This window comes from Homo sapiens, chromosome 12 (genome assembly GCF_000001405.40).
Source record: "Homo sapiens chromosome 12, GRCh38.p14 Primary Assembly".
NCBI lineage: Eukaryota > Metazoa > Chordata > Mammalia > Primates > Hominidae > Homo > Homo sapiens.
The window spans coordinates 94,578,307-94,601,789 of NC_000012.12; the positions used below are offsets into that span (position 1 = coordinate 94,578,307).

At 43.0% G+C, this 23,483-nt stretch overlaps 1 protein-coding gene and 1 pseudogene across 2 annotated transcripts in view; one reads left to right on the forward strand and one right to left on the reverse strand.

Moving 5' to 3' along the window:
* Nucleotides 1-23,483, reverse strand: part of TMCC3 (transmembrane and coiled-coil domain family 3) — an 83,436-nt gene that overhangs the window by 11,185 nt on the left and 48,768 nt on the right. For both annotated transcript variants that reach the window (NM_020698.4, NM_001301036.2), the window contains exons 2-3: nt 3,316-4,232; nt 88-223 (exon numbers count right to left, since the gene is read on the reverse strand). In NM_020698.4, the coding sequence (NP_065749.3) occupies nt 88-223; nt 3,316-4,232 (1,053 nt within the window). The remainder of the gene's footprint in view (nt 1-87; nt 224-3,315; nt 4,233-23,483) is intronic.
* LSM3P2 (LSM3 homolog, U6 small nuclear RNA and mRNA degradation associated pseudogene 2) lies at nt 12,473-13,139 on the forward strand (annotated as a pseudogene).

Here is a 23,483-nt window from a genome sequence, read left to right on the forward strand (position 1 = left end):
GGACTTAGGCATAAACATTTAGACTGTTAAATGAATTAAGGCTCGGGAAGAGCCCAGGCCTGTGTCTAATCACAAAGGGAAAGGTACCTGGATGTCCCGCGAGCGCTCGTAGGCCTGGTAGGCCACCTTCTCCTCAATGCTGGCCAGCTCCTGCTTCAGGTTGGCTGTCTCATGCTGATGCAGGTCCGTCAGGTCATGCAGCTGGTCCTCCAGTCGCTCATACCTTTAAAAGAGAGGAGCCGATTCCCAGTGTGACCTTTCACAGCACATTGTGGAACGATGTCCTTTTTATCTTCCTGCGCCAGTACCTTTTGGCTTGCTCTCATTCCCTGATGGGCTGTTTTTCTAAAAGAGTAAGGCTAGCTGTGGGAATTGAGCTTTTGGATAACACTGAGTCCCAGCTCTGGAAAGATCCAGTCTCTGGGGTCTTGACTCTCTGTCCTTGCCACTGAAGGTGCACACGGGTCAGACTAGCACCTTAGCTAGCTGCAGTGACCTCAAGATAGAGCTCATCAGCTGATGCACTTGCCAGGGCCAGGCAGGAGACAGGGCTCTGTGGGATCCTGCTAAAGGAGGGCCAGGACCTCTGGTGTCTGTGGTGCCTTTTCCCTATTCTGCCCTGACACTGCTGTTGGGGTTCATGGCCAGAGAGCCCACAGGGAAAGCACCATGCTTTTAGTATCACCTTCTACTCTGGGGTCAACTCTACTATTTCCCAGCATGCAAACACGCACTGATTATGGATTTCAGCTCTTGGAACTTAACTGACAATACAAAATTAAGCTTATTACAAATTATAGATGGTTCATCATGCAGTGTTTCAAAATGTCCAAATCTAAAGGAACAGAAGTACAAAGATTCTCATTCCTGTGCCCTGCCCCTCTCACTGAAGATTATTTTTCTCATATTTGAAACCTTAGCTGGGTGCAGTGGCTCACGCCTGTAATCCTAACACTCTGGGAGGCCAAGGCAGGTGGATCACCTGGGGTCAGGAGTTCGAGACCAGTCTGGCCAACATGGTGAAACCCCGTCTCTACTAAAAATACAAAAATTAGCTGGGTGTGGTGGCACGTGCCTATAATCCCAGCTACTCGGGAGGCTGAGATGGGAGAATTGCTTGAACCCAGAAGGTGGAGGCTGCAGTGAGCCCAGATCGCGCCACTGCACTCTAGCCTAGGCGACAGAGCAAGACTCCATCTCAAAACAACAACAACAAACAAAACAAAACAAAACAAAAAATCTTATACTGTGTATTTTGAAACAGGATGTACTGTTTGGAGAAGATGCATTCATTAGACTGGAATGACTTTGATCAACGCCAATTTCAGATGCTTACATAGGTCACCTGACAGAATCATTTTATAAAGAGGACCAAAGAGCTTCATCCAGATTTAATGCTTATTCTCAGGCATGACTTCTCAGATGTCAAATGCTGCTACTGCTGTGAATAAGCCTTTAAAGGTCTCTTCAGTAATACAGGTGGTGACTGTAACACGCGGGTCACAAACGTAACCACAGGACAGATGCAAACAGAAACCGTCCTGAACTCACATAAATAGGGATCTGTAACTTGGGAGAAAATGTGCATCTAGAAAGTGCTATATCCCAGACTATTTCGATAGAACTGACGTTCATACTCTGGAAAAGCTGTGACTTAAAATATAATTCTTGTGTGACAAAGATTCCAAAGATGCATATGGAAAGATTTTTGTTTCATAAAATTGGAGAATTGAAAAGGCCACATTTCTAAATTAATACAGACATAAAATCATACATCAATTATAAAACAATAAGTAAACTAAATTTAAACTTTTAATGTTATAGTATGTAATAGGCATTTTACTATTTTATCTACCTTTTTAGAAGTTAATGTATTATTAACTTTGACTAAAAAACTTTTGAAGTATCTCTTTATTGGAAAAAATGGGGAAAATGACCTTATATTTGGGCTTACACACTTTGTGTTAATAAGTTATAAGCACCTAAAAGCCAGCCTACAAAACATCTACTTTAAAATTACCTAATATAAGCCAAAGGTTTTGAATGTATACTTTAATCTTAAGATGACTTTGGAAAGTTCTTTATTTTACTTTAGAGTAAAAAGTTTAATGAGCAAACTACAGAACATAAAAAAATACATTACATAGGCTGGGTGCAGTGGTTCATGTCTGTAATCCCAGCACTTTGGGAGGACAAGGCGGGCGAATCACCTGAGGTCAGGTGTTTGAGACCAGCCTGGCCAATATGGTGAAACCCCATCTCTACTAAAAATACAAAAATTAGCTGGGCGTGGTGGTGGGTGCGTATAATCCCAGCTACTCGGGAGGCTTAGGCAGGAGGATCGCTTGAAACCAGAAGGCAGAGGTTGCAGTGAGCCAAGATCGCACCACTGCACTCCAGCCTGGGAGAAAGAGTGAAAACTCCATCTCAAACAAACAAACAAACAAACAAACAAACATTACATAAGGACTTCAAGATTGATGTGCCAAATAAGATTAACTTTGTTGGGTAATGAGTAAGTGTGTACTTGACAGTTGTTATGGAGGGAAATCAAATATAGATCTCTGAATTAGCATAATGACACTATAACGGAAGTCTACTGAATCAGCATCTTAAGATGCACGTGAGTTGTTGCCTGTATCCAATAATTTAAGGACCCACACATAAATCCTTCTCTAATTGTCAGCTAAAAGCCACAAATTATAAACTTAGAATCATGAAGGATGGAAATTATTGGGTATCCCTTATCTGAAATGCTTGGGACCAGAAGTGTTTCAGATTTTGATTTTTTTCAGATTTTGGAATATTTGCATATATATACGGAGATACCTCAAAAATGGGACCCAAGTCTAAAGACAAAATTCATTTGTTTCCTATGCATCATATACACATAGCTTGAAGGTAAAAGTGTACCATATTTTAAATAATTTTGTGCCTCAAGTTTGTGTTAAGTATTTATTTGTGGAATTTTCCAGTTGTGGCATTGTGCTGACACTCCAAAAGTTTCAGATTTGGGAACATTCTGGATTTCAGAGTTTTGCATGAGGGATGCATCAATACATTAGGGATGTATTGATTGCTAAACGCCCTTTAATCCATATCCATATTTATTGAAAATGTAACCATAAGGCATTCTTATTTCAAGCAATCTCTCTGCAGTAACTCATCCTTTTAAAAGAATGCCACACCTATCACGTACCCACTAAGTATCCGTGGTAATAAAAAAGTTTTCAAAATGAAAAAATAAAATAACATAAAATAAAAAAATAAATAAATAAAAAATAAAAAACACGCCAATGGAATACTTTGAAATACCTGTATCTTTCCTCTTGCAGGGTCTGAGAAATAAAACCATATTCTCTCTTAAACTGCACCTTCAGTGCCTCGATGTCCTCAGCCAGCTGAGCTTGGGTATCCTTGATCTCCCTCAGTTCCTCCAGGATCACGGCGAGCTTGCCCTGGCTGTCCAGTGTGCTGGCTCCACCAGCCCCAAACGACTGGTTTCCGTTACTGTCGGCCGAGCCTGACGTGCCACTCGAACATTCATCATCACTGCCATACTTGGGTTTGTTCACGATGGTAGCGCTGCCCCCGTAGGCCCTGGCACTCGCCTCTGGCCTAAACTCCTCTAAGGAATTTTTCAAGTGAGCAATGTTGTCGGCGCTGCCAAACTTATTCCGGATCAGGTTGGCAAACTCTCTGGACTTATTGAAAACGAACACAGGTGGAGTAAGTGAGACCCCTGGCATGCCCGATTTGCTGCTCTCCATGCAATGGGGGGCAGTTCGAGATTTCACGTGGGCATCTTTCAAAGAGCGATGTATATCCTTCAGGTGGTCTTTGGAAATGTCCTTTGAGCTCCTAGAGGCTCCATTCTGCTCGATCTCTCTGAGCTTTCGATGATACTGCTCTAACTTCTTCTGCAGCTGGGCGATGGAGTGAGCTGATTTCTGATTCTTCTTCTCAAAGACTTGCTTGATACGTCCCGCCTGCTGCTTGTCTGCGTTGTTCACTAGTTTCAGATACTCCGCAACATTCCCATCGCGCGATGTTTGCTCAATTTTTATCTGCTCTGTTACCTTTAGAATTTTTTGCTTCAGGCTGTCTGCAGTGAGTTTGACCTTGTGGAAGTCCAGGATGCCATCCGGGACATCAAAGTTGAGGTTGGTGTCTGACCCCCCTCGGCGTATGTTCAGGGGCAGGCTTAAGGTATTCATGTCATGACGTTCTACCTGAAAGAGACAGGAAAGAAGCACATTAAAATTTGAAGTCAAAGAGATAATTACTGTGACAGAATCTATGCACATACAAGATACATACATGAAGTCCCAGTTTTTCGAACTACAAGTGTCACGGGATAAAATCCCCCTGCTGTCCCCTCCAGTTGAACATAGAGGCAGCCTGGCTCCTTCCTGCATCCATCTACACTAAGTAGCTGTGAGATTCAGATCTCCCAGGGTATCCACTTTTTTTGTGTAATGAGACTGTAACCTGGCTCCCAGGGTAGAAAACGCAAAATAGAATGAGGTCACCAGTCAGTCCCGGTCTCCCAAAGTGCCCAGGTAACTGGAATGCCTGCCATACCACATTCACTGGGAACTTCACCACTATGGGGAACGCATCCAACTCAGAACTCACTCACTTAATAGAAGGAGAATCTTTTTTTTTTTTTTTTTTTTTTTTTTTTTAAAAAAGAAAGATGGGGAAAAATAGGGAAAAAGATACGAGCAGGTACATCCATCAAACAAGAACATTATTTTCTTAATGGAATCATTAAATAGATGTGATAGAATAATATGGTACAAGATTAACTTTAATAATTGGGTAATACAACAGTATTTAGATATGGAAACAACCTCAAACCACACCACAGTGATATTAAAAAAAAAAAAGGCCGGGGGGTGGGGGCGTGGCGCTGCTGGGCGAGGTGGCTCACACCTATAATCCCAGCACTTTGGGAGGCCCAGGCAGGTGGATCACCTGAAGTCGGGAGTTTGAGACCAGCCTGGCTAACATGGTGAAACCCCATCTCTACTAAAAATACAAAATTAGTTGGGCATGGTGGTGGGCACCTGTAATCCCAGCTACTCGGGAGGCTGAGGCAGGAGAATCACTTGAACCCGGAAGGTGGAGGTTGCAGTGAGCCGAGATCACACCACTGTACTCTATCTAGACTGGGCAACAGAGTGAGACTCTGTCTCAAAAAATAAATAAATAAAATAATGAGAAAACTAAGACCACATAAAATAGTTTTCTCACTCAAGGGCCATTTAGGGAAAAGAACTGCAACGCAGCATTGAGTTTCCTGGTGAAGGGGGTGGCAAGTTTGTGCTCTAAAAGGAAAAGGCAGAAGTAGACCATATCCCAGGGTCTATGGATGCCTCTCATGGGTTGTCTCACTTCACTACCATGCCAGACAAAGAACATGCTAGATTCATAAACATGTAGACACCAAGGGTTAAGGCCAGGATTTGAATCCAAGTCATCCTAACTGTAACCCTCTTTCCATGTCAGGTCACTCCATTGTTGATGTTCCTGGAGGATGAAAAACAGCTCTTTGTAGAGTTCAAACACAATCTACAAACAAGTCTTAAGATCCAAACTGAAGCATCTCATTTGTCAATATCCCTTTGATTAGATTAATGACTTGATATACAGTCTTAATAGAAATCAAATGAGAAGCAAGACAATATTCAGCATGTTACCTTTTTTTTTAAGGAATTAGTGGGCTGACAGCAAAAAAATTAGTAAAAAATTAATGAATCTCCCACTAAGTGATATGGTTTGGATCTGTGTCCCTATCCAAATCTCATGTTCAATTGTAATCCCCAGTGTTGGAGGTGAGGCCTGGTGGGAGGTGATCGAATCATGGGGGCGGATTTCTCATGAATGGTTTAGCAACATCCCTCTGCTGCTGTTCTCATGGTAGTGAGTCCTCCTGAGATTTGGTTGTTTAAAAGTGTGTAGCACCTCCCGTCTCTTGCAGGCATCCTCCTGCTTTCGCCGTGGGAAGTGCCTGCTCCCGCTCTGCCTTCCACCATGAGTAAAAGCTCCCCGCAGCCTCCCCAGAACCAGAGGAAGCCATGCTTCCTGTACACAGCCTGCAGAACCGTGAGCCAATTAAACTTCTTTTCTTATAAATTATCAGGATTCAGGTATTTCTTTATAGCAATGTGAGAACAGACTAATGCTCTAGGTGATCCAGACTTGAATATGGACCATATCCAACAACGGGTATTAACACTTCACCACGTTATAAATCCTGCCCAGTGCTTTATTCCAGAGGAGGGAGCACAGCAGCACAGTGGGACACCATCCTAGATGGGCGGGTCAGGCCTCCTCCACAACTTACAAACATTCGTTAGCATTAGCTCTTAGCCCCTCTCTTCCAATGCACAATTTTGTCATGAAGGAGAGACACTGGTTGCTTTATCTGGCAGAGGAGCACCATATAGGAAAAGCTGGAGGGAAATAAATGCCCAATCACTACAAGACTAGAAAACAGGATATATGAAAAAAGGATAAAGAAGTTGTGACTTCACCTGGTCAAGAGGGAAGGATGGGGATAGGGAATAAAGAAGGTATACAACAATCTTTAAGTCCTAGAGGGTCGACCACAGGAAGCTCAAGGAATCTAGTATCTGTGGCTCATTAGTGGACCCAAACAGGAACAGGTTCAAATTATAGCAACAGAGAATGCATGAAACTTAGAAAATGTTTATTTTGGGCAGATGGGTAATTAATGGTAACTGTACAATCACTGAGGCTAAAAATTTGATTTTGCTGGAGATATTATATCTGATCATGCTACTCTATGTCTTAGAAACTTCCTTTGGCTTCCTAATGGCTACTAAATGAAATAATATAACCTGGCACATCATTTCATTTAGCAGGCATTAGGAAGGACCTTATAGGGCTATAAGGCCCTAGCCCACCTTTCAGGCGTCACCTCACCTGAAGGACCCCTTAAGAATATCTTACAACCTAAATTCCCAGAATGTATATGAATTTTCTATGGATTTTCTCATATGCATGATATTCACAATGCCTGCCACCCATTTACTCATGCTTATCAAAATCCTACGTATTCTTTAAAACCCATTTCAAGGGCCAGGCGCAGTGGCTCACGCCTGTAATCTCAGCACTTTGGGAGGCTGAGGCGGGTGGATCATAAGGTCAGGAGATCGAGACCATCCTGGCTAATACGGTGAAACCCTGTCTCTACTAAAAATACAAAAAAATTAGCCAGGCATGGTGGCACGTGCCTGTAGTCCCAGCTACCCGGGAGGCTGAGGCAGGAGAACTGCTTGAACCCAGGAGGTGGAGGTTGCAGTGAGCCATTGCACTCCAGCCTGAGTGACAGAGCGAGACACCGTCTCAAACAAACAAACAAACAAACAAAACCCATTTCAAATGCCCCTTCTGCCATGAAGCTTTTCCCAGTCCCAGTGGAACACCCCCTCTCCATTCTGTGACATGCCTGTTGCTCTGTGCTTGTCTTGTGGCACTTCCTGACTCCTCCTTTGATCACCACCCATGCACTTTAACCCCCTGCAGACTGCAAGCTCCTTTGGGGAGGCATGATGTCATAGCTGTACCTAACTTGAAGTTCACGTACTTCCCTAGGAGGCTGTCAATAAATGTTTGTCTACTGAACCAAAGTGCCATCATTCTTTATTCCAAGGAGTCTGCCCTGGAATCATTTAAGACACCTTTCCATTGAGCCAAAAAATCACCTCAGAAGTTCTGCTCGCATAGCCCTGACAATTCCAGGTGAAGATGGCTTCCCAATACCTGGATAATAAATCTGGCACCATTTGAAACTGATTCAACTAAACAGAGATTTTTTTCCGAGTATCAATGTGCAACAAGATACACAAATACAAATAAGGACTTTAAAACTTTAATTGAAGCATAATTTATACTCAGAAAAGAGCACATGTAATAAGTACAAAGTGAAATAAGTACTCGATGAATTTTTACAAGCTGAACACATTGTGTGACCAGCAGCCAGTTAAAGAAATAGAACAGAAGCCTCCCTTGTGCCCTCCTTCAATCTCAACGACATCACCTCCACCTCCAGGGGCAACCATGATCCTCACTTCAAACCGCATACATTAGTTTTGCCTGTTGTATACATGTATTCTTCTTGTCATTTTTCACTCAGCACTGTTTGTGAGTTTCATAAGAACTTGGTTTTGCCCTCCTGGAGCTCACAGATAAGACGAGATGAAGTTATTTAAAATCTGGCTGGCATTCTCTATTGAGAAGTCCACAACAACATCTAGAGGTAGAAAGGTTTTCATATTTTACCTTACCAAACCGAGCAGTAAATAAACACCTGTTCTTACTCCTTTAATTCTCAACTGCATCAGGGCTGGTCATCCAATTCTGAGTCTCAAGGCAAAGCCTCATGCTCTCACAGACCTCTCGTTACAGGACAGCCTTGTATGCACAGGAATGTTTATGCACAGATGGCCAAATGACTTTTGGCTTACTTTATGATTTAACAATGCTTTGCATGTTCTCAAGAGTCCAGGTTGGCGAAAGCAACAGCATTTAAAGCCCCAAATCAATCGATCTTACTGCTTGTCAGCAAATCTCAGTTAAAAATGTTTGATGAGGGTATAAAGTTGGAACTATTACTGGGCTGCTCCTTTTGCCCTTTTATAACCCTAGCTAGCACTGCATGGGATAATTGAGAGACAGCTACACCTATCATTGTTAGATGCCTGTAAATTCCCTGAACACAAACTGAAATTACATGTGCGTGCTAAAAGAAAGCTGCCAGTCCTCCACCCTTCGTTTAATCCAGACTTGGCACTGACCCTATACAATACACTATACATTGCAGCTTGGTTTCAGGGTTAGGACGCAGGAAGGACAAAGGTTTCTGGTTATCTAGACTCAGTGTACACTGTGTGGATCAGGACACTGTGTTTCTGTTTGGGCGCTGACATTTACTATGTATGTGTTCTTGGGTAAACTGAGTCACCTCTACGGGCTTCCATTTCTGAATCTATAGAACAAGGAGACAGAACCAGACAATTCAGAACTAATACTGCACAACTCCATCAAGTGTAATCCAAGCTATCATTACTGTGAGACAGTACTGCATCATAAAAAGCCCAAGGGCTCCGGAAACAGACTGCTTTGGTTTCCATCTTGGCACCACTCTTAAGAGCTGTGGGACCTTGGAAAAATGACTTAGCCTCTCTGTGTCTCAGTTTCACTTCTGAAAATGGACATAATGATTCTTCAAAGAGTTGTGAGGAATAAATGAGAAAATGTATGTAAAGTGTTCACCTCTTCAAGTGTGACCTCCTGGCACACTGAATGATTTCAACAAATGTTTGTTACTGTTATCATTCCAATTTCATTCTAAAATGTACCTAAATTCAATTTCATTTAAAAATGTATGTAAAAACTGAAAGGGAAACAAACTCCAAAGTGTTAACAATGCTGACCTTTGCACCGTGGGGTTATGCGGGGTCATTCTTTTGTATTTTCAAGTCTTTTAAAAATAAAATGTACTACTGTTTTGGCAGAAAAGACTTTGCTTTTAAGAATGACTGCTAGCCTCTTTCAATTCTTCCAGAATACTTGGCTGTTATTACTTTAGATGAAAGGCAGATCCGCCTACTGAAACGCCATTCCTCATTGTGTTTTCTTTCCGGCACTGGAGACATTTCCACTGTCACCCCAATGCTCTGGAACAAAGGCTGAGGAAAAGCCTGAGTCCCGGACAGACGTCAAAATCTAACCCTGCACCACCTCTGCAATGAACCAGGCCTCCAGCACAACACACCAAGTTAGCTCACCTTACTCACCGGACACGGGCACAGCAACTCAGTCACCACCAGTGCGGCTTGGACACACTGTGCAGGATTCACGGAAGGCTGTCTCCCAGGACACTCTGTATTAACCCGCTAAAGCTCCAGAGGGAGATGAACCAAAAAGGAAGGGTACCAACACAGAGGCACACCACCCACCCCCCAGCAAACAGAACCAGAATGTAGGGCTCCTGTGGACCCTGGAACGACAGGGACTGAGGCAGGAGTCCTCTGAGGTTCTGGAGGCCACAGAGTAGCCACAATGTGTAGGGATGCAGAGCTATCACAACAATGTGACAGATGACAACGGCCTGCTTAGTCTCAAGGCTGAAGACAATGAACCTTTGCTTAAAGAAAGGCTGTTTGAGCCTCAGGCATTACAAGAAAAGGGTCAGATCCTTCAAATGGGCTGGCATTTCCAAGGCAACAGGTATTTCCAAGTACATGTGAGTGAAGATTTATGCATAGGTCCACAAGGACCTGCACGTTCAATACCTGAAGGCTTTTACAAGTCTTCGTGGCCTTGGTATGTAAGTCAGTATCACTGACATTTTTTACTATTAATCACTTTAGCTGAACTCTATTTCAGGTCTAAAGTCTAGGCCAACCTTGTCCAATCCACGGCCCAGCATGGCTTTGAATGCAGCCCAACACAAATTCGTAAACTTTCTTAAATCGGTATGAGATTTTTTTTTTTTTTTTTTGAGACAGTCTCACTCTGTCACCCAGGTTGGAGTGCAGTGGTGCAATCTCGGCTCACTGCAACCTCCACCTCCTGGGTTCAAGTGATTCTCCTGCCTCAGCCTCCCGAGTAGCTGGAACTAAGGCACATGCCACCACACCCAGCTAATTTTTGTATTTTTAGTAGAGATGGAGTTTCACAATGTTGGCCAGGCTGGTCTCAAACTCCTGACCTCAGGTGATCCGCCCACATCGGCCCCCCAAAGTGCTGGGATTACAGGCATGAGCCACCACGCCTGGCCAGTATGAGGTTGTTGTTTTTTTTTAGCTCATTGGCTATCGTTAGTGTTAGTGTATTTTATGTGTGGCCCAAGACAGTTCTTCTTATTCCAATGTAGCTCAGGGACGCCAAAAGATTGGAAACCCCTGGTCTAGGCTGCTCCTATGATATGCCACCCAGAATGTGCTAGGCTTTGCCATCGTATTAATGTCAAAATCTCAGTGGCTATAAAAGAAAGGCTTATTCCATGCAAATGCTAGAAAGTTGGCTGTGAGTCAGTGAGGGGACCCAGGTTACGGTGGGGCCTCTACCGTCTGGACGTTCTCTAAAAGACAGAGAACTCATTACACTGACCCTACCTAACTTCTAGGGGACAGGGGAGTATAATCCTATTACATGCCCACGAGGTAAAATATCATGTTAGTGACATGTGTAGTACCTTTCTTAATTGTTAAAAACTCTCTGAGGTAGGTTCTACTATTATTACTATTTTATAAACTAGTCACAGAGAAGTTAAGTAAATTGCCTGGGGGCACACAGCCAGTAACCGGCAGAGCCAGGCTGGAAATTCTGGCTGTCTGTCTCCAGTGCCTACCTGCCTAAAAATGACTGAATACTTTTATTGTGAATCAGGCACTGTGCTAAAGATTTTTTAATGCATTCATATATTCTTCACACCAACCCTTTTATGAGAAAACCGAGACTTGTAAAGGGTATGTTTCTTGAAGCCCATGAATAATAAATAGCTTAGGTGGGGCTCAACTCAGGTTTATGAAATATGCAAGACTTAGCAAGATCTGTACCAGCTCAGCCCCAGATCCCGCGAGAACCTCTGCAATGCCCTTAACATGGTCATCCATTGCATGGATAATCTGGGCTTCGTTTAGACTACTCTGTCAGAAAATTCTCCCTCAGGCTGAACTTGAAATAATCGTGGCTGTAACTTTGTGTCCACAGCTCTGGAGCCACATCAGTCAGGTCTGATATAGTCTATAAAATCTATTCTTTTTTTTTTTTTTTTGAGACAGTCTCTCTCTGTCGCCCAGGCTGGAGTGCAGTGTCGCGATCTCCGCTCACTGCAAATTCCAATGTTCAAGTGATTCCCGTCTCAGCCTCCCGAGAAGCTGGGATTACAGGTGAGTGCCACCACGCCCTGCTAATTTTTTTTTTTTTTTTTTTTTTTTTAGAAGAGATGGGGTTTTACTATGTTGGCCAGGCTGGTCTTGTACTCCTGGCTTTAAGTGATCCACTTTGTTCCATATTCTAAAATATAAACAGTGATTTGGGCCAAATAACTTTATGAAGATAAAAAAGCTTACTGCTTGTATTGGAACAATGCCTACGCATTTACAATCACTAAGAGGAGAGAGAGAATGAGATTAAAAACAGAAGATAAAAATAAAAGATAAAGGACCTCTGGAGAAAGAAGCCCTGTCCCTAAGGGCCTAGCAAGTGAGGCCATGTGGGAAAAGGCAAACAGCAGATAAGCCCTGGATCTGCCTGGAGGGAAGGGAGAGTGCCCTTCTCTGTGCTGGCTGATACAGCTGGGAGACCGATGTGGGGCTCAGCATGGCCCCACAGTGGGGTACCTTTGTGTGTTCTCCCAGAAGAACAGGAGCTTTTCTATCAGAAACAAGCGGGGTTGTGTCCTCACGCTTCCGGAGACTGGAGTTGCTCCTGTGTTCTCAGGAGAGGCGGGAGACGGCGCAGGGTCTGAAACATGGGGGACGATGTGCACCCGCAACAAACTACCAACACTGGAGAGGAGCCCCTGGATGTTATCGGGCTCAGCCTAGATGAGTGAGTTTATGTGAAAATGAGAAATGACCGAGAGCTTCAAGGCAGATCACATGCTTATGATCAACATTTAAATATGATCTTGGGAGATGAGGAAGAAACCGCGACTACTATAGAAATTGATGAAGAAACATACGAAGAGATATATAAATCAAGGAAACAGAATATTCCAATGCTCTTTGTCCTGGGAGATGGTCGTGCTGGTTGCCCCTCCATTGACAGCTGGATGAAACAATTTGTCCTGTATGGAAAATACGAGACTTCGTACAGTAGCCTTTCTAAATGTACAAGGCATTCAAAAGAGAAACCTGCATACATTCTGATATTAAGAAATAATTCTGGGGATTCTCCCACTCCTGAAATGAATTGATTTGCAGATAATTCACAACTTCTTAAGCTAAATGGCATTTTAACTTTTCTAAAGCTCTTCAATAAATATGACCACCAAGATGCAGAGCTCTTTTTCAGGACTTGTTTTGCTCTGTTATCCTTACAGACAATTTCTGATTTTTTTTTTTCTTTAAATTAAAATTGGTGTTTCCTCGTAGGAAAAAAAAAAAGAAATATATAAGATACAGTGGCTGGATGCAGTGGCTCACACCTGTAATCTCAGCACTTTGGGAGGGGAGATTGCTTTAGCCCAGGATTTCGAAACCAGCCTGGGCAATATGGTGAAACCCTGTCTCTACCAAAAAAAACAAACCCAAAATTAGCCAGGCATGGTGGCATGCACTTGTAATCCTGACTACTCGGGAGGTTGAGGCACGAGGGTCAAGAGCCTGGGAGGTGGAGGTTGCAGTGAGCATGAATCACGCCACTGCACTCCAGCCTGGCAGCCTGGGCAACAGAGGGAGACCCTGTCTCTAAATAAATAAATATACATATATGAGAGATACCCCTAGCCCATCTCCCTCTTGCTATCCTGGGGTCACACTTGACATGCACTTGCAAAATGTCTAGCCAGAGTCAGTGAACAGGGAAGCTAACTGAACCACCGGATCCCAGCATCCTTGCTAACAGAGCTAACCTATACTAGAAAAATAACTCCAGGGGCTGGATAAGGCTCCTTGTTATCTGTTACTAGAAACATATTACTACCTTCATGGGACACCTACACAGAATATTCAATACCTACATTTGCTAGAAGAAAGCTGCACTTTCCCCCACTGTGTGCTGGAGGGGAAAAATCTTAAGGACCTTCATATGATATCCAGAAGGACATTTTATTAGGAGAGTGTCTTAGTACAGTGTTTGTTCTAACTTGTTTAGACAAGGAACATTTCCTTTCATAGTTCAGGTCTGACAATAGCACACTCTGAACTTTAAATAAGTGCACCGTGTACAGCACGGGAACTGAGTCAATAGTTTTGCCATAAAGGTTTTATTCCTCGCATCCCCCCTTCTTCCTCTCTTGGCATCACTGACAAAAGAAATTCTGTAGCCTCAAGAATCCTATTTCCGGCCGGGCGCAGTGGCTCACACTTGTAATCTAAGTACTTTGGGAGGCTGAGGTGGGTGGATCACTTGAGGTCAGGAGTTTGAGACCAGCCTGGCCTACATGGTGAAACCCTGTCTCTACTAAAAATGCAAAAAAAAATGAGCCGGGTGTGGTGGCAGGTGCCTGTAATCCCAGCTACTCAGGAGGCTGAGGCAGGAGAATCACTTGGACCCCGGAGGCAGAGGCTGCAGTAAGCCAAGATTGCGCCGCTGCAGTAAGCCAAGATTGCGCCACTGCATTTGAGCCTGGACAACAGGCTCCATCTCAAAAAAAAAAAAAAAAAAAAAATTCTATTTCCTGAGAGCAGGTAAAGTAAAATCTCATTACTCTGGAATTAGGGATCATTTGGAACAGGAGCTAGAATACACATATCTTTCATGGCCCAATCCTTTCTCCAGACACTGCAAATTAATAGTGTAAAGGAGATTAGGCAGTGTTTAAGAGTCTCAAAAACAAATTCTTCAAGCATCCTCAAGCACTCACAAACACCTGATACTGTAATTAGAGATAATTATCTTCGGCCAGGCGCGGTGGCTCATGCCTGTAATCCCAACACTCTGGGAGGCTGAGGCGGGCAGATCACCTGAGCTCAGGAGTTCGAGACTAGCCTGGCCAACATGGCAAAACCCCGTCTCTAATAAAAATAGAAAAATTAGTCAGGCATGGTGGCAGGTGCCTGTAATCCCAGCTAATCGAAAGGCTGCGGCAGGAGAATCGCTTGCACCTGGGAGGTGGAGGTTACAGTGAGCAGAGATTGCACCACTGCACTCCAGCCTGGGAGACAGAGCAAGACTCTGTCTCAAAAGAAAAGAAAAAACAAAAAGAGCCAGGCATGGTGGCGGGTGCCTGTAATCCCAGCTACTCAGGAGGCTGAGGCAGGAGAATCACTTGGACCCTGGAGGCAGAGGTTGCAGTGAGCCAAGACTGTGCCACTGCATTCAAGCCTGGACAACAGGCTCCATCTAAAAAAAAAAAAAGAAAAGAAAAGAAAGAAGAAAGAAGAAAGAAGAAGAAGGAAGAAGAAGAAGGAAGAAGAAGGAGAAGGAGAAGGAGAAGGAGAAGAAGAAGAAGAAGAAGAAGAATTCTATTTCCTGAGAGCTGGTAAAGTAAAATCTCGTCACTCTAGAATTAGGGATCATTTGGAACAGGGGCTAGAATACATATATCTTTCATGGCCCAGTCCTTTCTCCAGACACTGCAAATTAATAGTGTAAAGGAGATTAGGCAGTGTTTAAGATTCTGAAAAACAAATTCTTCAAGCATCCTCAAGCACTCACAAACACTTGATACTGTAATTAGAAATAATTATCTTCTCATTAAGCCTCTACCAGGAAACAGTGGTAATCTCCTTTGAGTTACACGCACTTAAAAAATGTATCTTTCTTCAAAACAGCTTATAAATCACACTTCCAATAAATACAAACTAATTCTTTACAAAATTAGTCTGACCTGGTAAAGATTTGTACGTACTAAATCTACGTAAGAATTAAAGGGGGAGAAAGGCCAGATTCAGCAAGAATGTCCCTTGAAAAGTAGAAGGGAAGGCTACAGTGATGAAAATAGACCAACCTTACATGAGCACCAATTGCAAGGCAAGGACAGCCACAGTCCCTGGGGAGGAAACTGTGGAGGGATGTGAGGCAACACCCAAAAAAGGCAACTTCTAAGAGGAGCAGGGAGTCTCTGGGGACCCTGTGTACCTTGAAAACGAGCAAGTTTGGGAAAGGGAAGTGTACATTTATTTAATATCTGCCCCTTACCTCTCCAGGCCTGGGAACTAAGAACCATGCCTTTTAAATTTAAATATATATATATATATATACACACACACACACACAGAGTGAGAGAGAGAGAGGTCTCTCACTCTGTCACCCAGGCTGGAGTGCAGTGATACCATCACTAGCTCACTGCAACCTTGAACTCCTGGGCTCAAGTTATCCTCTCACCCTAACCTCCCAAAGTGTTGGGATTACAGGCATGAGCCACCGTGTCTGGCAGAACCAGGCCTAATTTTAGGACTAAACACAGAACAAATGTCCACTGAAGCTTTTAGTTCCTAACTCAGAAGGAGAGAAGGGGTGAGCAAGAGCTGCTAGGCACTAAACTTAAGGTCTTTTGGGGGCAGTTCTGGAAAATTTCCCATCCATGCTTGTTCATTCCCATAGGTTTCTGGCAGTGTCTGTCAGTAAAACCTCCCCAGGAAGAGGGGAAGCCAGCAAGGAAGGGGATGTGGGAATATCGAGTTTACTCTGGGAGAACCGCCCCCAGGAAAAACGAGTCTCTGAGGCCCTTAGTCAGAGAGCAGAGAAAAGAGGCCAAGCCTGGGAGCAGAGGGTCTGCCTACTGCCCTGCCCTGGCAGCCCAGTCTTCTACATTTCCCATCACATTCATTCACCACCTCACTTACCCCTAAAACACACAGGGTGGGCCTTCTTAGAAGGGACCTGTACTTAGTGTAAGTTTCTAAACGATAGTTACAAATCCAGCACCTGTCTTGCAGAGTCTTTCGGCATCTCCAGCCTGAACGAACTCTATCAGGCCATGCTGTGTTCATTATAGGCACCCTGCACAAAAGGGAAAGTAACTTGTCTCCTAAAGTATAGCTTCCTAGATAAGTAAGTGAATATAACAAGGGTGTGCAGTGTTATCTATCAGATAACAATAATTGTTTCCCTTTTTGCCTCGGATGCTAGGAAATTCAGAATCAAACGTAGAGTAACTGTTAGATCTGGTGATCAGCCTATATGTTTTCCCCTTCTTTTTCGACTTTTGGATATTAGCACTACTCTAACTATATTTTCCATGTGTCTTATCATAATCATAATCTTAGTGGAAAGAGGTGGGTATACTTTAACCTGCTTATTAAGAGGCTAGGTATGTCATCTTGCCCAGAGATGAACACTATACCAGCATTCCTATGTTTAATAGGGGGAATGTGGTCAACCATACCCAGCTCATGAACCTGCACTGCGACTTCCCCATCCCCATTCCTAGAGCATCCAGAGAAAGCCACATAATGGTCACAACTTGGCTCATGTCCTTTGAAAAGTTGCTATGTAAGACTGAGCCAGGAAATAGCGTTTGGTACTGGAGCCCCAAAGTGCATTCCCAAAGCATATGCAAGCCTCATAATTAAATTTTTCTCTGAGGGTGAGGGTTTCATTTATTTTTTGGTAGTATAACAAATACTGGAGGGAAAAACATGTACTGGATGATTTGCAGTATAGAATTTTCTTATAAATGGATCAGAATACTACTAGCTATCAGACAGGGCTTAGAAATAAGTAGCTATTCAAGAGTAGAAGAAAAACTGATCAACAGTCATTTCTTCGCCTTTTGCAATGCTGAAGCTAATTTTGCACAGTTTTATTTTTTCTAATATATGCCAGCAGTATTATCACCAAATGGCAATTAGAACTAAAAAGCTGCCTTTAGTTGTATCAAAATAATATAGCATTCCACTTAAAGAAAAAAAAAATGTCCATGAAAAGTACATTCAATCGATATTTTGGTACAGTATTTCTGGCATAGAAAAACAGCCTTACTTTGAAGTTGTGCTCGGCCTTCAAATGAGGCCCTCAACATAAAAACTGATTTCCTTGGGTTGAATAAAATCATCTTTTCAAAAGATAAATCAGATTATACCCTGTTCTCTCCCAAAGATCTTTAATGTTCCCTAAAGTGTGAAATACTTAACAAAGAATTTAAGGCTCTGTTGATCAGGGTCCTATCCTAGTCATTTTCCAGCAGGTCCATCCATCCTGATGTTTTGAGTACATCTATGTATAGCCCCTAGGGTAAGGCTGGACCTTTATATACACTCTCCTTTAATCCTCATATCTCCATGTCATTAGCTCTGCCTTGCAGATTTGAAAGGGGGAGGCATCAAATAAGTTATGGTGACAGCTAAGAAGACACAGAGCCAGGATTTGTACTAATGTCTAGTTTTTAACCTTCATCTTATTCCATGTGTGTGACGAGCCAGTCACACCTGAACACTGCATGCACTTTGCTATTTCTATGTCTGTTCCTCACCCTAGCATGGTCTCCTTCCCAATTCACCTTTCAAGGACCAAGTCAAACGATGTCTCTTCCACAGAGGTTCTCCCACCCCCACGCCCAGCTAGGATTGACTGCTTCCTTTGTGCTTCTCCCCATTTGCACTGACTCCTCATACAGTGCTTATTCTTCCAAGTATGACAGGTATTTGAATAACACATTTGTTCCTCCAACATTTGGATGCCTCCTTGGAGAGAAGGATCATCTATCATCTACTAGGCCACCTGTGTCTGCTCCACACTCTTTCCTCAATAGGACCTTAGTGCTTATTAAGTGAATCAGTTGTTGACTAGCAGCCAACTAGGGCAGCCAGTTGTTTAGGGACAAGTGGCTGCCCTAGTTGTTTACATTTGCTCAGCTGTTTGCAATGAGATCAAGAAGAACCTGCAACTGAGGTTGTGCTGGGTTGCTTTCAAAACAGACCGAACCACGAATGGTTCATGGCTTGTGACACATGTGAGAGGTCAAATAGGAAACTGATGTTTCATGGCTCTTCACTGCTCCAAGCAGAATATAGGTAATCAATTACCAAATGATAAATATTGCCAGCCATGGTGGCTCATGCCTATAATCCCAGCACTTTGGGAGGCAGAGGCAGGAGGATCACTGGAGCCCAGGAGTTTGAGACCAGCCTGGGCAACACAGTAAGTCACTGTCTCTATTAAAATACATATATATATATATATATATATATATATATATATGTATATAAATTAGCCAGGCCTGCTGGCGTGCCTGTAGTCGCAGCTACTCAGGAGGCTGAGGTGGGAGGACTGATTGAACCCAGGAGTTTGAGGCTGCAGTGAACTATGATTGCTCCCTTGCACTCCAGCCTGGGCGACAAAGCCAGACTCTGTCTCTAAGAAAGAAAAAGAAAAAAAAATTAAGATCTCCCACGTACAGAATATGCAGGTATGATCCTTTCCTCCCTAAGGGACCTTTTCCCTGTAGGGACCGTTGTAATTGTGGCAGACAACTCAGGTGCCTCCTCCTTTGGACACACCCATATGTTCTGACTCAATCCATTATTTGTGATGGCTTAAGGAAGCAGTCTTAAATAATTTCTCAGGCCAGGTGCAGCAGCTCACGCCTGTAATCCCAGCACTCTGGGAGGCTGAGGCAGGTGGATCACCTGAGGTCAGGAGTTCGAGACCAGCCTGGTCCAATATGGCAAAACTCCATCTCTACTAAAAATACAAAAACTAGCCAGGAATGGTGGTGCATGTCTATAATCCCAGCTACTCAGTGGGGCTGAGGCAGGAGAATCGCTTGAACCTGGGAGGCGGAGGTTGCAGTGAGCCAAGATCGCGCCATTGCACTCCAGCCTGGACAACAGAGAGAGGCTCTGTCTCAAAAAATAAATAAATAAATAATAAAAATAAAATAATTTCTCTAATGCACCAGGAAGGTTCTGAAATGTAGTTTCTTGTCACTTAGGAAATCACAATTTGATAGAACATGAACACAGAAATGAAGGAATTCTTTTACCCTCCAAAGTCCAAGAAGGCAACGACTTGTTTAAAGGACACAAGCAGGCCTCAAGAAGAATGGCTCAAGAGAGGACAGAATCTTGCCAGGATCATTCAAGTTTATCAGAAAAGAGAAGCCACCAGTTACTAAAGACTTATCAGCATCAAATAATTTCCTAAATGTTTCCGGTACCTTATTTTATTTTTCCTTTCAAGAATCTGATATTAGAATTAAAACTCCCATCTTCTCAGAAAAGTGACTTACTAGGACTCAAAGCTAATAAGTGGCAGAGCCATGTGATTCCAGCCCAAGTGCACCTGGCTCCAGGAATATCCTACCTTTTCTTGAGCTCTTTCTGTGTACGCCAAACCATTTATCATACATATACCTGTTTCCTTTAACCCCTAAAGCCCCTCAAATCTACTTAGTTTACTCAAATCATTGTGCTACCATTAAATATGCAAATGTGAAAAATATGTATGATAGAGAAACAGAAGAACAAAAACAGACTCCTTCAGACTCCTTGGTGCCACGAGGCAATTACTGGAGATGTTCTCAATTTGGCATTCATAAGTTCTCAATTTTGGCATTCATAAGTAGGAGAAGAAATGACCTTAAATCCCAAGATACCTTGCATAATAAAAAAATGTGGGTTACTTCTGTTTTACCCACTACCAAAGATCCTCAAGGCCAGCTTATACATAAACTCCCTCTTTGGCTAAAGCTCCAGCAGGTTCTACAGTCATTAAATGCTCTGCCGTCAATAAGAGGAGGCTTTCTTCTCCCACAGCCACAGACGTTTAAAGGCTCCAAAGATTCGTGTTTCAGGCAGAGAACAGTCCTCCTCTAAGATCATACTGTTTTGTGATCTGGGATAAAAGAAACGACAAAGAAATAAAACAAATGGTGGGCTGTGATTTTAAAGATAAACACTGTATCATGACCCTTCTTAGAACCTAAGTCTGTATTTGGGTTGGCTGTATCTCCAAAACACAGGCAACAGACTTCCAGGACCCACTCAAAACACTCGCAGCAACCAGGTAGCTCAGACCTCATGGGAAAGCTCTGATTCCAGAGCCATGTATCCTAAATAAAGGTTTGCTTCCAGGGTGGTAGCATAAGTTAGTGGTTAAAGGCACAGATTTCAGAGCCAGACTGCCTAGGTTCAGCACTGCCATGTGAATTGCCTCGTCTTGGGCAAGTTACTTTCTCTATGCTTTGATTTTCTCATCTGTAAAATGAGGACAGCAGTATCTACTAGTTCACAGTGTGACTGTGAGGATTACAGGAATTCATGATAGGGTCTTGTACAGAGTAAGTGCTATAAGTGTTGGCCATGGTTTATTAAACCTAACATACCCCAGATAGGTGGGTTCTTCAGAAGACTCCAGAGCCAAGAACAGTGATGCTGCTGTCACCATCATTAAGCTCTTTCAACAGAAGCCAATCATTGTCCCCGCCGCCCCCACATGCACGGAGTATTTGTGTGTACACAAACTGCTGCTTATCTATGCATCTTGCAGCAGAAAGGAGGGTGGAAAGTGGAGAACAGGGTCTCAAATTCATACCAGAAGGTCCCTTAAGAATCAAGTTTCAATGAACCTGAACAGGAAAGATAATTTTTAAAAGATACCCCCCCCCCCGCCCACACACACACACAAGCCTAAGATACTGCTTTACAGAGTCTTACCTAGTATTTAATTTGACTTGTATAAAGGTACTTTATGTAAAATAACTAAACTTTACATTCTCAACAGCCAGCTCTTAATGCTTTTATAATTGTCATGAGTTTTCTATATTGCTATTTTCAGTAAAACTAGGACTCTGAAGTAAGACCCTAAAGACAGATGTCTAACGTTTTCCACCTCCAAGTCTTTAAGCAAAACAAGAGAAAATCGTATTAGAAAGACATATCTAATGATTATAACTTGCTACTTCCTCTATAAAACCTCCTTAGCCTACTTTTTGAGAGTATTATGGCATGACCAGGCACAGTGGCATGTGCCTGTAGCCCCAGCTACGCAGGAAGCTGAGCCAGGAGGATCGTTTGAGCCCAAGAGTTGGAGGCCAGCCTGGGTAACACAGCAAGACCCCATCTCTAAAAAAAGGAGTGGTGGTGGGGGAAGAGAGAGAGAGGGAGAGAGAGAAAATGAATGAATATGAATTATGCTTGGAAGCTTGTTTTTACAGATATTATGTTGGGGGTTTGGGGACTGGGTTATACTTAATTCCATGACCTTAGGGGTAAACAGCATAATTATTTTATTGATGTTCTCTCTCCTTCATCTCTTCTTTAAAACTGTCACCAAATTCTGGTTTTTTTTTTTTTTTTTTTTTGGCTTGGTGGTTTCTCTCCAGATTGACCCTTCCTTGCTATCCTCAGGGCCATCTATCTTAATCCACATCCTCATTTCCTATCTCACCTATAGCAAGGGCAACAGTTTAACTGGGTTTCCTTGTTTTCAGTGTTCTATTCCTTCCATCTAGTCTATAGGAAGTCATTACACTGATCTTCTAAACTCCCACTTCCATCACACTAAAACACTGCTTAAGATGTTCAACGATTCTTCCTTTAATAAAGAGATTGGATTCCTCCCCTTGCTGGTACTTAAGCCCTGAGTAATTTTTCCTATTCAACTTCCAATGTCTTCCTCCTTCCTTCACCATCCACCAAGTGGATCTCAGCACTGTGGTACATGAACATATTTCTGGACTTTCTGTTTCACCTCAACACTTACACCATTCCCTTCCGGACACAGCATCTCAAGGCCTCTGTCATATCCAAATCCTACCATTCCTTCAAGATCTCTTCCATGAGGCCTTTCCAAAGGACTTCTTCTCCTTCCTGATCCATTTTGGCTCTTATATATACTGTTAGGTGGGTTCCTCTTTGTTTTATCATCTTTGCTGGGTTTTTTACTAGTTACTGAAAGCATTCACTTTCTCAGGTACCATACAACACTCAGCACAGAACGCGCAGTATCACTGAGCAGCAAATACCTATATACGAACCCAATTTCTCTATGTCATAACCCAGTATATTACAAATTCTGAATGAGACATCCAAGAAAGAAATACATGTTTACCAATATATACATACTTATGTATGTGCACATATACATGCACACACCTAATTAAAACAAAAGTTTTGTAAAATACTACTTATCTTTACTACACACAATGTAACTGTATTTACAGCTACCTAATTTTCTGGACAACTGGATATTAGAAATTATAATTACCTTTGTTAATTTTATTATGTAGAAAAAGTCCTTGTTTGCAGATACATATTAGAAACAAAGTGCCCTGGCCGGGCGCGGTGGCTCATGACTGTAATCCCAACACTTTGGGAGGCTGAGGCGGGCAGATCACTTGAGGCCAGGCTTTCGAGACCAGGCTGGCCAACATGGTGAAAGCCCATCTCTACCAAAAATACAAAAATTAGCTGGGCATGATGGTAGATGCCTGTAATCCCAGCTACTCAGGGGATTGCTGAGGCATGAGAATCACTTGAACCTGGGAGGCGGAGATTGCAGTGACCCGAGATCATGCCATTACACTCACTACACTCCAGCCTGGGCAACAGAGTGAGGCTGTGTCTCAAAAAACAAAAAAGAAGGCTGGGCGCAGTGACTCATTCCTGTAATCCCAACATTGTGGGGGGGCGAGGTGGGTGGATCACATGAGGTCAGGAGTTTGAGACCAGCCTGGCCAACCCTATCTCTACTAAAAAATTGGCTGAGCATGGTGGTGCACACCTGTAATGCCAGCTAATTGGGGAGGTTGAGACAGGAGAATTGCTTGAACCCGGGAGGCAGAGGTTGCAGTGAACCAAGATTATGCCACTGCACTCCAGCCTGGGTGA